Consider the following 13,654-nt stretch of genomic DNA (forward strand, 5'->3'; position numbering starts at 1 on the left):
GCTGAGCACACAGTCCAAGAGAAGTGATAGACATACAAACAGCCAAGTACCACTCAGTGTGGGGCATGCCATTGTAGAATTACAGAGAACGTACTGGAGGATCTCTGAAAAAGGAGGTAGCAAATTTCTCTGTCCCAAGGAACCCGGGAGGAAGTCAGAGAGGAGGTGATTCCTGAGCTGGGTCTTTAAAGATGAGCAGGGTTTCACCAGTCAGCAAAGAGCCTGGTGTGTTAGGATAGCAAAGGGAGGCTCCATGTGAACAGAAAGAAGGTTCTGATAATGAAGAGAGGTAAACAGCCTACTTGCCTAACCATAGGGACAAAAGAACAGGATGGGCTGAGCACAGTGGCTCATGTCTGTAATCCCAGCACTTTGGGAGGCCAATGTGGGCAGATCACCTGAGGTGAGGAGTTCAAGACCAGCCTGGCCAACATGGTAAAACCCCATCTCTACTAAAAATACAAAAATTAGCAGGGTGTGGTAGTTCAGGCCTGTAATCCCAGCTACTCAGGAGGCTGAGGCAGGAGAATCACTTGAACCCAGGAGGCGGAGGTTGCAGTGAGCCAAGATTGTGCCATGCACTGCAGCCTGGAGGACAAGAGCAAAACTCTGTCTCAAAACAAAAACAAAAACAAAAACAAAAAAAGAAAACAACAACAACAAAAAAGAGCAGGATGCATCCAGCGAGTTTTGTGCACACTACAAGACAATTATTTTTAATACATTAATTCTTAAAATGCCTTTGCTGGCAGCATTAATTCACTTAGGTGATACTGAAGCTTCTTAACAAATAGCATTGCCAGCGATGCATTTCATAGTGATGTGACTCAGTATCCTAGAACAGTGCTTAAACACAATGAGAATGTGTCAACCCATACGCACTTAATTCATTCACAGTGTGGATCCCAGCAGAATGGCCAAGTTCCACAAGCAGCATTCACCCTGCCTTTCCATCTCACAGTGTTTTATAACATCGTCAACCTGAATGAGGTGCCTAGAAGGACAAGTGGTGGTTTTCAGGTTGAAAATAAGTGTCCATTCCTTCCCATGGGAAGCTGACATCTCATTTTTTAAGGGTGACATGCCATTACAAAGACGCATTGAAAGGTGAAAATTGGAGCACACTCTTGAACATCCTAAGTGGTACACGAGCTAGAAAGAAACTCTCATTAGGTGTAATGACTCTTCTACCTTGAAATGCAGGGGAAGGACGTATGCTACAAGAAAATAGAACACATGTTGGGTAAATATAAGCATGCTCTCAAAGAAACCAGAATGGACAAGGTTTCATTCGCTTCACATCTACAATAAAACAAGCCAAAATATGGAGCCATATGTAGGTGAGCTTAGGTTTAGTTAGGAGCTTTCTTTCAAAAATGACCATGGCACAGTGCAAAAAGTGCCTACATTGGAGGGAGGGGGGCATTCTGATTTTTAGCAAGTGCCATTTAGTTATCATTGTCCTCATCATTGGCAGGGTCTGGGAATGACATTCGCCTGCCTTGAGCAAGCTAAGAGCTTTCTTTGAAAAAGCATCCCCAAGTGAAGGGGCTTTATAATCTCCACACTGAGGTCAGGAAACTGAGAAAGATGGCAAGACATCGTACCTAGGATTACACAGCTAGAGCTTGATTGCACCTCAGTAAGTCCAGGTTTCCCTGAAACCAAATGGAGCATCTTTCCATGGAAACCTAGAAAAAGTAACATATTTTCTCAAGTTCACCAGACCCTGGAGGGGTTGCAACTTGAACCAGGAACCCCATTTTTCTGGCTGAGTTCAGATTCTTCCCTTTCAGTTTGCTGGGAATAGCTCCCTCTCTTAAACCTCCTGACCATTTTAAACTTTTGGTCAACTTTCCTTCAACAACTCTAGTCTCTGGTATTTCTGCTTTCTATGTGAAAGGGAATAACTTGATAACCTTTAAAATCCTTCTTTAGAGAAGAAAGAACTAGCCATTTATATTCCTGCTGCAATCCTCATGGCTCTGCCTGCCTCTGAACTGGCTTTCTTGGCTCCGTGATCCTTAGGCTTTGTTAACAACCTCTCTTTGAGGTTAGGGTGAGGAATAGTAATTCAGCTATTCACAGGGGCTGCTGGAGGCAAGCCTGAAAGGTGTCCAGAGAGCCAGCAGGCACGGGCCATGCTTTCAATGGACAAGGGCAAGAGTCAAGAGTCATTTCCCCATGTGGTATGTATGTGAGTGTGAGAAAGAAAGAGAGAGAGATGAGAGAGACAGAAGAGAGATTATGGGAGGGGCAGGAAAACATCAATATATGCCCTTCCAAAATAAATTTAACTTCTAGGTAGAATCTTAGTTTCCAAATAGGCTTATGGAATCCTCACTTTTTCCAATTTCAAAGCTTCCTGTTGCATCCAGCGTTTCTAGAAACACTCCTTTGTAGAACAGCAGCACTGTAAGAACAAAGGGACACCATAAAATAGAAATTGGGACACAACGCATTCTTTTCCAAACAGCAATATATCAAAGGCTTGGTTCTCATCCCACAAGGGGAGAGGCTCCTAAGGTTAGGCATGGTTTGAGTATTGCCTTCCCACCTGCATGCTATGATCTGAGAAAATATAAAAACCCAGCACAGAATTGCCAGCACTCTGAATGTGTAAGGAAGACTAAGACCAAAACTCCAAGAGTCGTCCCTGTGGGTGGCTGGCATGTCAGAACTCAGTGACCCCATGCTCTGACTCTAGCTTTTTATTTTCCCTTTGGGGCAACCCAATTTGCTTCACATTGACACCATTACAACAGACTCTAGGCTGTGGTGTCTTGTTTTCTATTTAAGATCTCTGTCCAGGCATTCATCTCTTCCTTTGTTCCTTTTCATATAGTTAAGACAGGCTCTCTTTTCCAGAAGACTTTATTGAACCCTAAAAGATGAAGAATGGAACATAAACTCAGTGAACATAAAGGCCATTAAAGTGAGCATGGGTTTGGGGGGAAAGGGAATCTGTTTTTACCTGCATGTTTCTCTCTTGTGAAACTCCTTTAAGCAGTGACACAAAAGAAGACCTTATGCCAAGTTCCAACTTGAAGCTCATCAGTTAAGGCTTGGATGCATAATGTATACATACCATGGAATATTATTCAGCCTTAAAAAAGGAAGGAAATTCTGATATATTCTACAACATGGATGAACCTTGAGGACATTATGCTGAGTAAAAATAATGCACTCAGAAAAAAAACAAATAGTGTATGATTCCACTTAAATGAGGTACTTAGAGCAGTCAAATTCATAGAGACAGAGAGGAGAATGATGGCTGCTAGGGGCTGGGGGAGAGGGAGAAATTGGGAATTACTATTGAATAGGTACAGTTTCACTGAAGTCACTTTAAAACAATTATGGGTTAACCATCTTAACACTGAAAAAGTGGCTAAGATTGTAAATTTTATCCTATATGTATTTTACCACAATTAATTTTTTTAATTGAAAATGTTGAGTGTATTTCAACAATGATTTCGACTTTTCAGCCTGGTTCCATTGCCTTCATTGATGTTGGAATCTTCAGATCCCACCAATAGGGATCTAAACTACAAGTTATTTTCTCGACCTTGTTAGAGACAAATGAGATTCTTTATTAAATGATTTAAACTGATTTTTTTTCAACTAACTTTTAGGTTTAAACAATCAAACTCACTACTCCAGTGAGTGTTTGTCATTCAAATTAAGAATTAGCCAGGCATGGTGGCTCATGCCTATAATCCTAGCACTTTGGGAGGCCAAGGCAGGTGGATCACCTGAGGTCAGGAGTTTGAGACCAGCCTGGCCAATGTGGTGAAACCCTGTCTCCACTAAAAATACAAAAATTATTGGGGCATGGTGGTGGGCGCCTGTAATCCCAGCTATTCAGGAGGCTGAGGCAGGAGAATCACTTGAACCCGGGAGGCAGAGGTTGCAGTGAGCTGAAGTAGCGCCATCGCACTCCAGCCTGGGCAAAAAGAGCAAAACTCCATTAAAAAAAAAAAAAAAAAAAATTAAGGATGCCTGTCAGGGTAAGCACAAAACAGAACTGAGGCACTGTGGCATGAATGACTTTCAAGAAGGTAACACCAAATGAAGAGCTGGAAAGAAGATCTGCCTTCCTTTCTATGAGTTAATTATCTTGTCCGTTTCTTTTTCTAGTCATTTAATAAATAATATTTTGCTTATCGACCTTTTTTAAAATCTTGGAACAATAAGAGAGATACTTTCATTTCTTCATCCAATTTCAAAGTCTGGAGAAAAAAAGACATGCATGCACAACTAAGTAATCAACGTTAGATTCTGCTGACATTTATTAAGCTCCTACAGTAGGCTAGGAAACAGGCACATAAAACTACATGGCCATGAGTTTCTAATTTAATTCTGTTTCCTAACCAAACTGAATCAAAAGGCTATTGTTTTTCCCACATCTTCAACAATTCATTTAATTCCTGTATTAATCTATGTTTCGAAACACCCACCCTGGTCATCCCTTATCCTGTCTCACCAAAATTATTACTCCTGCTCTGTTGCAGCCACACATTTTTGTGGACTTCCATGGACAGGTTAGGGGGAAGAGATTTGGATGTCATCATGATCAGTAGATGACTGCTCAAGAATATAGATACTAAGACCACAGGAGGGGTGAGGAAGGAGCCTTGAAGATCCCCAGAACCCAAAGAAGTGGGCAGAGAAATAGAAGGACCAGAAGAGAGAGGAGGGAATTACCAAATTCAAAGTACAAGTTTGGAGAGAAAATGATGAGCAACAACATCTAATGTTGCCAAGTAAGATGAGGAGTAATGAGTCCTTCAGCTGTGATACTTGGGAGGTTCCTTGGATTTTAGAAAATCACTGCCTTAGACTCGGGGTGGTGAAAGTGATAGTGACACATGAGTAGAATGCAGTACAATGAAGCAAATAAATGTGGATAGTTCTCTTAAGACAATTGACCCGGAAATGAATGAGGCATCTCAAAGAAGAGTAGTCTCAAAGGGAGATGAATGGATCCAACGTTTGGAGGTGCTTCTTGTGGCATCTGTTGTTGAAAGAGACTTTTGTAAATGGAGTAATTTTGAGAGAGAGCAAGAGAGAGGAAGAGAAAGAGAGAATGAGAATGAGGATATATTCAAGACTCAGGAATTAAAAATGTGGTCAGAGGAGGGAAGATTCCTAGGGTGGTGATGGGTGAAAGCCAGAACCAGGCACACACCGAATAGGAGAAAAACGCTTTTACATAGAAAAAGTGCACCAGGCTCAATTCTCCTTCTTCCATAGAGCCCTCCATCTAGACCTCAGCTCGCCTAATGCCAATCCCCTTTCTTACCGTTGCAGAGCCATGTGCAGGGTGAGTGTAGAGCAATTATTTGTAGAGAATAAGAACAGAGAGATGATGCTCTGCATGGCTCAGAAACAACTTCTGCATGAACTCCTCTTTGGAGGCCTGGGTGTGTTGAGCCAGTTCACTCCAGCGTGGGCAGCAGACACTCCAGCCCCAGCTATGTCTGCCACTCTCTGAGTCTCCTTCCTTGCCTCTCTCCTTCCCGTTTAATTTCAAACTCTCACATTTCTTGTGCATTTCTCCTCTTAAGGACAGAGACACTGGGTCATTCTGTAATGTGCTGGAAAAATCCACAATCCTTAATAAAAAGGCAGGCAGAACCTTTCTTCCCCACAGCAGGGGTAGCTGAGCAGTGCTTGGCCAGGCAGAGGGAGGGCCATCTCTTTATCCCCTCCCCTTCCCTTGTCCCCCAGGGGGTACGTTCCTGGAAGCACTAATGGTTCTTAAGTTTAGGCAGTGTCCAGCTGTGAAGTGAGGCTCCATTCTTCAAAGAAGTCAGCAGCCACCTGCTCTGCAGGAGACAGGGGAGAAATCGAACCCTCAACTAGAGAGACAGTGGGTGGTACACTCTGGCTGCTGGCTGCAGCCACCTGCCTCCCATCCGTGCAGCTGGGACTGATGGACCCAACCAAGAGGTTCAGCCCAGCCCCTGGAAGAAAAGCTGGCCCCTCCCAGAGGGCATGACTTCCTACTTGTCAACCTAGAACTTCACCATTGTCATTGACCCTGATCCCAAGCCTCCTCCTGAGAACTCAGTTTCTTCCTCGTGCCAATGACAGCTGCAGCCTATGTCCTAAAAAACTGAGTCCCTAGACATCTGCCGACCTAGAGATAAAGCCCTTTGTCCCCCTTGCCTTCACTGTCCCCTGTGTAGGAAATGCATCCCACCCCTACTCATGGGCCCTATTCAGGAGTCCCTGTTCCTGCTGCCTAAGCTCCCCAGTCCAAGTCACAGACAGCAGTCTCCTCCTGCAGTCTCCTTGCCTGACAACCTGCCCTGACACCACCCTAACACCGAGGGGGCCTCCTGAAGCTGACTGCTCACCTGAGCCCCACTACCTATGACCAGGCTTCCTAATTCCTCAGGTACCTCAGTGGTCCTGTCCACAGGGTGGCTGGGAGGCTGCAGTGAGATGGAGAGGTAGAGCGATGCCTCAATGCCCACACATGTCCATGGTGGGGACCATTGTTGTTGCTGGTGTTTTGCTCTTGTTGAGGGCAGATTTGGCAGCCGTGTATCCCTCACCCCCAGCTCCCACTTCAATCCTGGAGCACACAATGTGCCCCTAAGACATTGCCCAGCTGGAGACAGGCAGACAAGCCTAGATTTGAGTCCAGACAGACTTGAGTTTGAATCTAAGCTCGCTTATTATCTGTGTGACTTAGAGCAAAATCACTTAACCCCTGGAGCCTCCGTTTGTTCCTCTATAAAGCCTCCCCTGTGGGTTTCGTGGGATAATGAAATGAGATGACATAGGAAACAAACCTGGCACTTTTAGGCATTGAAAAGAACCCTGTACTCGTGCCTGTCCTGTCTTCTGGAAAAGTAGGCAGAGCCACCTGGCTTTGATCCAAGACCACCCCAGGGATTTCCCCAGGAAAAGACTTCAGATGCTTTCCCCAAAGGGAACCACAAATGCCGGCAACACACCCGAATCTGCCTCCTTCACAGGCCTGGGGATGTGTTTGATGTAATCAACAATTGCCTATGCCTGTGAGCTGAATCCCGACACATAGGCTCACTTCCGACAACGTGCATATGTTCCTCCAAATTAAATGGGAGCCTGGGGAGCAAATGACTTTTATCAGGATGTGGGGTCAAGAACTGCCCTCCTGCTCTCCTACAATGGGTTATTTACAACTGTGTGTTTCTCCCAGTGCTGCTTGTCAGCTGCTAATAGCATCCTATTAAGAAAGAACTGGAAGGAAGGACAGCAGAGGCCTCCACCAGCCCCTGCCCACTGAGAAGGGGCTGAGACAAAGTGCAGGGTGAAGTGGAAAAATTCAGGCTCTGAGGTCTGACTGCTGGGGCTTGATTTCCAGCTTACTAGTTTGGGACTCTGGGCAAGTAACTTTATCTCTTTTGAGCCTCTGTTTCTTCATCTGTAAAATGGCCATTATAACATTATGAGAGACAGCAGTGCGGCAAAGTGAATGGCATGGTGCTGACATTCCACAATGCTGAGCAACATTAAAATTAGCTGGAGTTGAATGAGCAGTACATGAGCTCTGGGGTGTTCTGTAATGGAAAGAGATGGAAGGCAATGGCAAGAGAAAGCACCTACTCTGTGCTACTTTTACATATGCTATTGTATTTAATCCTCAAAACAAGCCAAAGATGTGGGTACATTATTGCCATTCTTTTTTTCCCTCTTGAGATGGAGACTTGCTCTGTCTCCCAGGCTGGAGTGCAGTGGTGAGATCTCAGCTCACGGCAACCTCCACCTCGCAGGTTCAAGCGATTCTCCTGCCTCCACCTCCCGAGTAGCTGGGATTACAGGCACATGCCACCACACCTGGCTAATTTTTTGTATTTTTAGTAAAGACGGGGTTTCACCATGTTGGCCAGGCTGGTCTCGAACTCCTGACCTCATGATCCTCCTGCATCAGCCTCCCAAAGTGCTGGGATTATAGGCGTGAACCACCACTCCCAGCCATTATTGCCATTCTAAGGGAGATGACTGAAAGGCTCAGAGAGGTTAAGTGACAGATTGAAATCTGCATCAATAGCAAGGGATGTGCAGCCACATGCTTATGCCTCCTGAGCACCTCTTTTTGCCAGCATACTGGGGGTGCTGCAGGAGGACTGGGAATTCACAGGTGGGCTGGGCTGCTGCCTGGACAACCTTCAAAGGAGACAGGAAATGAGAAAATGGGGCTGACTCACTAAGTCAGGACACCCGTCCAGGACAAACCCGGAAGACTCATGAGCAGGCCCGCAGGCAGTTCCTCATTACCACATCCCACTGCTTGGAGCAGACAACAGCAAGGGAAGCCATCTGGAGGTTAGGTCAATGCAGCTAGGTCTGCCAGAATGATCCAGATCAAAAAGCCTGCACATTCCAGCTCAGCCTTTTTCCAGGGTCTAGCCAAGTCTCCAGCCCTTCCTGCATTCCATTCCCTGTGCCTGGAACACTCGACTTCCTTTGGTTTGGCCAGTTCCTACCTGTACTGCAGGTCTCTTGTGTAACATGCACTTCCCTGAATCCTTACTGGAATATCCAGTGTGGATGAGCTACTTGGTCCTGGGCTCTCACAGCATCCTGCATTCTGCCTGTCCTACAGACCTACTCTCTATCTGACTGGCTGCCTTCTGTCCGGGCTCTAAGCTCCAAGAGGAGAAGGACTGTGTCTGTTTTGCTACCATACAGTGTTGTTAATATCAGTATCCAATGATTTCATCATTAAAGGAGATGATGTGTGAAATCCTTAGGACACTGCATGATGATGTGTACATGGGTAAGGAGTGATGATGGAGGTGGCCCAGCTGCAGTTCTTTGCAGTATTGTAGGATATAAGCTGTTTATGGACATGCTTCTGAATTGATTCATTTGTGCATTTTTGGCACCAGGCACTGCTATACACACAAAAAATCCAACAAGTGCCAGATGATACCACAAGTGGCAGGTGATTCACTGGTGAGACAGGGTGCCCCGGGAACTCAAAGGCAAAGTGTGGATCTTTTTACCTGGAACCAGCAGGAAAGGCTTGTCTGACAAACATAAGGTGGGACTTTCTGGACATTGGAGAATCATTATAAAAGAGGCACAGGGGAGCAGTTAGTGAAATTTAAAGCAGTTCAGTTCAAGAATTATAGCATATTCACACATTTTACCAAAGCCCCAAGAACACCAACATCTTGACCATGGAGAAGGTGCAGAGGGATGGACTCAAAACTTCATCCCTGCCCTGTTTCCTTCTTGGTTGGGAGTCTAGGTTGGCTGCACTGCAACCTCTGCCTAGTGTTTAAATCCTGAGTTTTGGTGAGTATTGTTATCATTGACAGTTTCTGAGACAACTGCAGCCCTCTGCTTCCTGCTGTGGCTGAAACATGACAAATAGAGAACTTCCCTGGGGAGGGGGTTGCTTCAGGGAACCCGTCCCAGGCTGAGACTGTCTTCCTCAAACCGCCCATCTCCCCCCAGAATGCCCTTCCTTCTTATTCAGGTATGATTTTTAAAATGACCAGGCTTTGAGCTAAAAATACAAATGCTTTATGTTCCTCCATGGGGGGAAAAATAAGACAAGAGAATCTATGAAAGTAACAAGGAATTTCATCCTTCAGTGGACTTTAGAATGGATATTTTAGACTCAGCCATCCATAAACATCGGGTAATATCATACTCTTGTAGTGCAGAATGAATTCCACAGAACGGGCCACAAATCTGCATTAGACCAGCAAGGGGGGCTCTCTGCGAGCGAGCGTTCAAAGATCTAAGGGATGACTGGAACCCTCTGTGCCCAGCTAAACAGATTTCACAGGCAAGAGCCCATCAACCAAATAGCACCAACCCTGGGCAACATTCTGCTAGGCCTGTGTAGAGGGGAGAACGCAGGCCATTAGCTCGGGCAGCTGGAGTCAGCTGGGGACTTAGAGCCGAAATCCTGCTCATGTCAGACCCTGCTTGTGACCTGCCCTGGATCCCAGTGACTACACGGCTTGCAAGGCCCTGGATGACCTGGTACCAGCTGCTGCCTCTGCATGATCCTACCACCCCGCTTCAATTCTGGGATTGTGGCATCCTGTCCTCCTCTCTCCATCCTCCAGAAGCCCCAGGATACCTCACTTGCCATTCGCTGGGCCTGCCTCAGTCCTTCCCCAGGCTTTCAGTGCTGAGCTTCATCATCACACCCTCTAGGAAGCTCCCTTGATCCCCAGTATGGATTAGCTGCCTTTTCTGCAGTGACATGTTGATTCCAGGCAATAAATGCCAAGCCTTTCACATGCTCGGTGCCACCTTTCTCTCCAGCCTCGTCCTCGCCCAGGCATCCTCCCCTGCTGCATTAGCCAAGCTCCCTGATACATACTCACATCTGGGGCTTCTGCCAAACTGATGAGTCCCTCTTCCCTGAGCCTGCCAAGATCCTTCTCTTGTCTGAGCCACTGTCCATGCAACGCCCCTCGGGACATCCTCACCTTTGTCAAACTGAATTAAAGAATTAAAGCCTCCTCCTCAGCCTCCTTCAAAAATCAGCTCAAATATCACTTCTTCCCAGAAGCCTCCCCTTACCAGGACCTGCAGAACTGTTCTCCCCTACCTGTGCCCCTCCCCTTGGCCCCTGATGCCCCTCACATCTCCTCCTTGCCTCAGCAGCAGTTTACCCCCAAGCATGTCCCCAAGTGAACAGATAAGCATCTATCTCAGCTGGGCCTAAACCACCCTTAATATCTCTGGTATCTGCATAGCTCCCAACACACGGAAACTTACCACACTCTGAAATGAACAATAAAATAAAAGGGCTTCCTTCTCCTGCTTTTCTGAGCTAGTAACTTTATCAAGAAGAAGAGGCTTGCTGTGGCTGAAGGTACCATAGCCTTTACTTCTACCCCTGCACTCTCTTTAGGATCAAAGAGCAAGGCAAATACTGCCCCAAATTGATTGCGTCCAAATGCAACCATCTCCTGCCATTTTAGATTTGGGAAAAGGAGGTACAGTATGTTTCATAAAGCCAGCATCATGCTGGATTTGCAATATCTACCAAGCCCCCCTGCTAATTGTTCTACTTTCCTTATCTCTTTTACGCCTCACAACAACCTGATGAGCTAAGTTCAATTGCTCTCATCTACAGAGCAGGAAACAGACAATGAGAGTTTAGGTCTCTGCCTGGCCAGGTCACGAGAATGCTTGATCATCAAGCTGGCTTGCAGGCTTTGAGCTCCAGGGGCCTAGGTCCAGAGCTGGAGTTTGGGACTGCCACACTATCCCCACCTCTCTCCATTGGGATTTCTTCGGCACGTATTTGGATTCTGTTGGAGCTCAGAGAGATTGCACAGCCTGTACACACTTAGATCAACTTGTCAGTGGCAGGGCTCGCTCACAACAGATCTTTTTCATCCCTCCTCCCTCGACTCATGAGGCTGACAGAGTGGTATATTGGATTTCCAAAGGCATCTTTCAGTAGAAAAAATATTTTCTTTTGATCACCCTCTCTCTTCCCAAAGTTGCAAAGGTGGGAGATCAAGTTGCCAACTGGAATTCCATTCATCAAGGAGATAAATATCAGCTATCTACTCCCCCAGTGCCACCATCAAAGAGCACATGTCAGCGGGTTGGCAGCTAGTGGCTGGCAGGACAAGGAGGCCTGAGACCGAGACTGGGGAGGGGCCTGTGTTTGAATCCAGTCTCTGCTACTACCCTCCCATGTGACCTTCGGCAAGCCACATCTCCTCTTTTGGCTTTTGTTTCTCCGTCTGGAAAGCAAATGTGGGTTCCATGAACAACTAAGTTGACCAAATAAATGAACTGATGAATGAATGAATGAATGATACAGTACAATGAGCCATTTTTCTGCTCTAAGAAACTATGACTCTAAAATATTTTTCTAAAGCAGAGTTCATTCTGTTGGCCAAGCCAGAACCCCAATCATCTGCAGTAGGACCAGCATCTAAGTTTCACATTATACCCACAATCTCTCTTTAATTGAGAGGGTGATTTAAAGCACCAGGACTTTAGACCCAAAGAGCAATGTGAGGTCTGTGAATGGTAAGCCTCTCCTTTCTCTCTTCCCATTTAAACCCAGCTCCAGCTCCATTCACCCACAGGCAGCCAGCATGGTGCAAGGGGCTTTCTGCAGCTGGGGCAGTTGACTTGAGCACAGCTGACCTCTCAAGGTCTCCCCTGGCTCCAGATCCTCTGATTCAATAATAGTCCCTGTGAATAACAGATCTGCTCCCTGACACTGTGCATGATAAAGTGACCTGATACAAAGTCCTATTAAGATAAATCACATTTACGTTTAGGAAATTATATGTTTGAATCCTGTAATTTAATGTCACTGTGACGCCTGAGAGGAAGGAGAGAGAACTCAATTAGAGGCTAATTAGACCAGGCGACTCAGGAGGCCTCGGTTGGCTGTCTGCCTCTGCTGAAGGGAACTTAAGCAAAGCTACCCAAAATTCCTGCCCCTCTGCCTCAGTTTCCCCACCTTAAGATGGGGATAGTCCTTGTAAGGGAAGTAAAGGACCTTGAATAAGACAGAAAAGGTGCCAGGCACAGTGGCTCATGCCTGTAATCCCAGCACTTTGGGAGGCCGAGGCAGGCAGATCACCTGAGGTCAGAAGTTCCAGACCAGCCTGGCCAACATGGCAAAACCCCAATCCAGGCCGAGCGCAGTGGCTCATGCCTGTAATCCCGGCACTTTGGGAGGCCAAGGCGGGCGGATCACGAGGTCAGGAGATTGAGACCATCCTAACACGGTGAAACCCCGTCTCTACTAAAAAAAATGCAAAGAATCGGCCGGGTGTGGTGGCGGGCGCCTGTGGTCCCACCTACTCGGGAGGCTGAAGCAGGAGAATGGCGTGAACCCGGGAGGTGGAGCTTGCAGTGACCCGAGATCGTGCCACCGCACTCCAGCCTGGGCGACAGAGCGAGACTCCGTCTCAAAAAAAAAAAAAAAATCCAAAAATTAGCCGGGTATGGTGGCATGCGCAGGTCATCCCAGCTACTCGAGAGGCTGAGGTAGGAGAATTGCTTTAACCCGGGAAGCGGAGGTGGCAGTGAGGGGAGATCGCACCACTACACTACACTCCAGCCTGGGAGATAGAGCGAGACTCCATCTCAAAAAAAAAAAAAAAAAAAAAAAAAATCTGCTGGGGTCCATGGGTGGGCTTCAGAGGGTCTGTGAACCCTGCACCACAAAATGCAAAATCTATGTGGGAGTTATATTTACAGAGGAGTAGATCCCTCAGAGTTTCATCAGATGTTCAGAGGTAGGCAGAGCTAAAAACGCTACAAACTACTGCTTCTCTCAATCCTCCCCTTCAGCGGAAACTATTCTAACATCTCTCCTTCTCCAACCAACAGCCTTTGCTCCTTCCTGTTGTGGCCCCTCTTGCTAAAATGGCTGGTCATTGTCACCATCCTACTTCCTCCCTCCTCAAAATCCTGCCATCGCCACCATCCCCCTAAAACTCCCTTCCCAGGGTAACTGTTGGCCTTCTAAGATCCACCTATTTTTCTTAGCATCTTTCCAGCATCAGCCCCTGTTTGCAACTGCACTGAATCCCTGATCCCTTTGGCTTCTGTAATCCGTGATGTTGCCCTTCCAGACCACTGCCAGGCAAGCACTCCTTGCATCTCTCCTGGGCTCAGTCCTCTTCCTGCCCCACTCATATGG

The 13,654-nt window shown here is 46.6% G+C and overlaps 2 annotated features.

Annotated features, from left to right (window-relative positions):
- Positions 5,867 to 6,366: an enhancer, noted in NCBI's record as "NANOG-H3K4me1 hESC enhancer chr16:65690017-65690516 (GRCh37/hg19 assembly coordinates)". NCBI's record gives its function as "activates a minimal SCP1, AML or CMV promoter by ChIP-STARR-seq in primed H9 embryonic stem cells {active_cell/tissue: H9 hESC(primed)}" and the evidence as "EXISTENCE:reporter gene assay evidence [ECO:0000049][PMID:30033119]".
- Positions 7,458 to 8,657: an enhancer, noted in NCBI's record as "CDK7 strongly-dependent group 2 enhancer chr16:65691608-65692807 (GRCh37/hg19 assembly coordinates)". NCBI's record gives its function as "activates an origin of replication core promoter dependent on BRD2, BRD4, P300/CBP, MED14 and CDK7 cofactors, with strong dependence on CDK7, by STARR-seq in HCT116 cells {active_cell/tissue: HCT116}" and the evidence as "EXISTENCE:reporter gene assay evidence [ECO:0000049][PMID:35650434]".

The sequence above is a fragment of the Homo sapiens genome, chromosome 16, assembly GCF_000001405.40.
Source record: "Homo sapiens chromosome 16, GRCh38.p14 Primary Assembly".
Classification (NCBI taxonomy): Eukaryota; Metazoa; Chordata; class Mammalia; order Primates; family Hominidae; genus Homo; species Homo sapiens.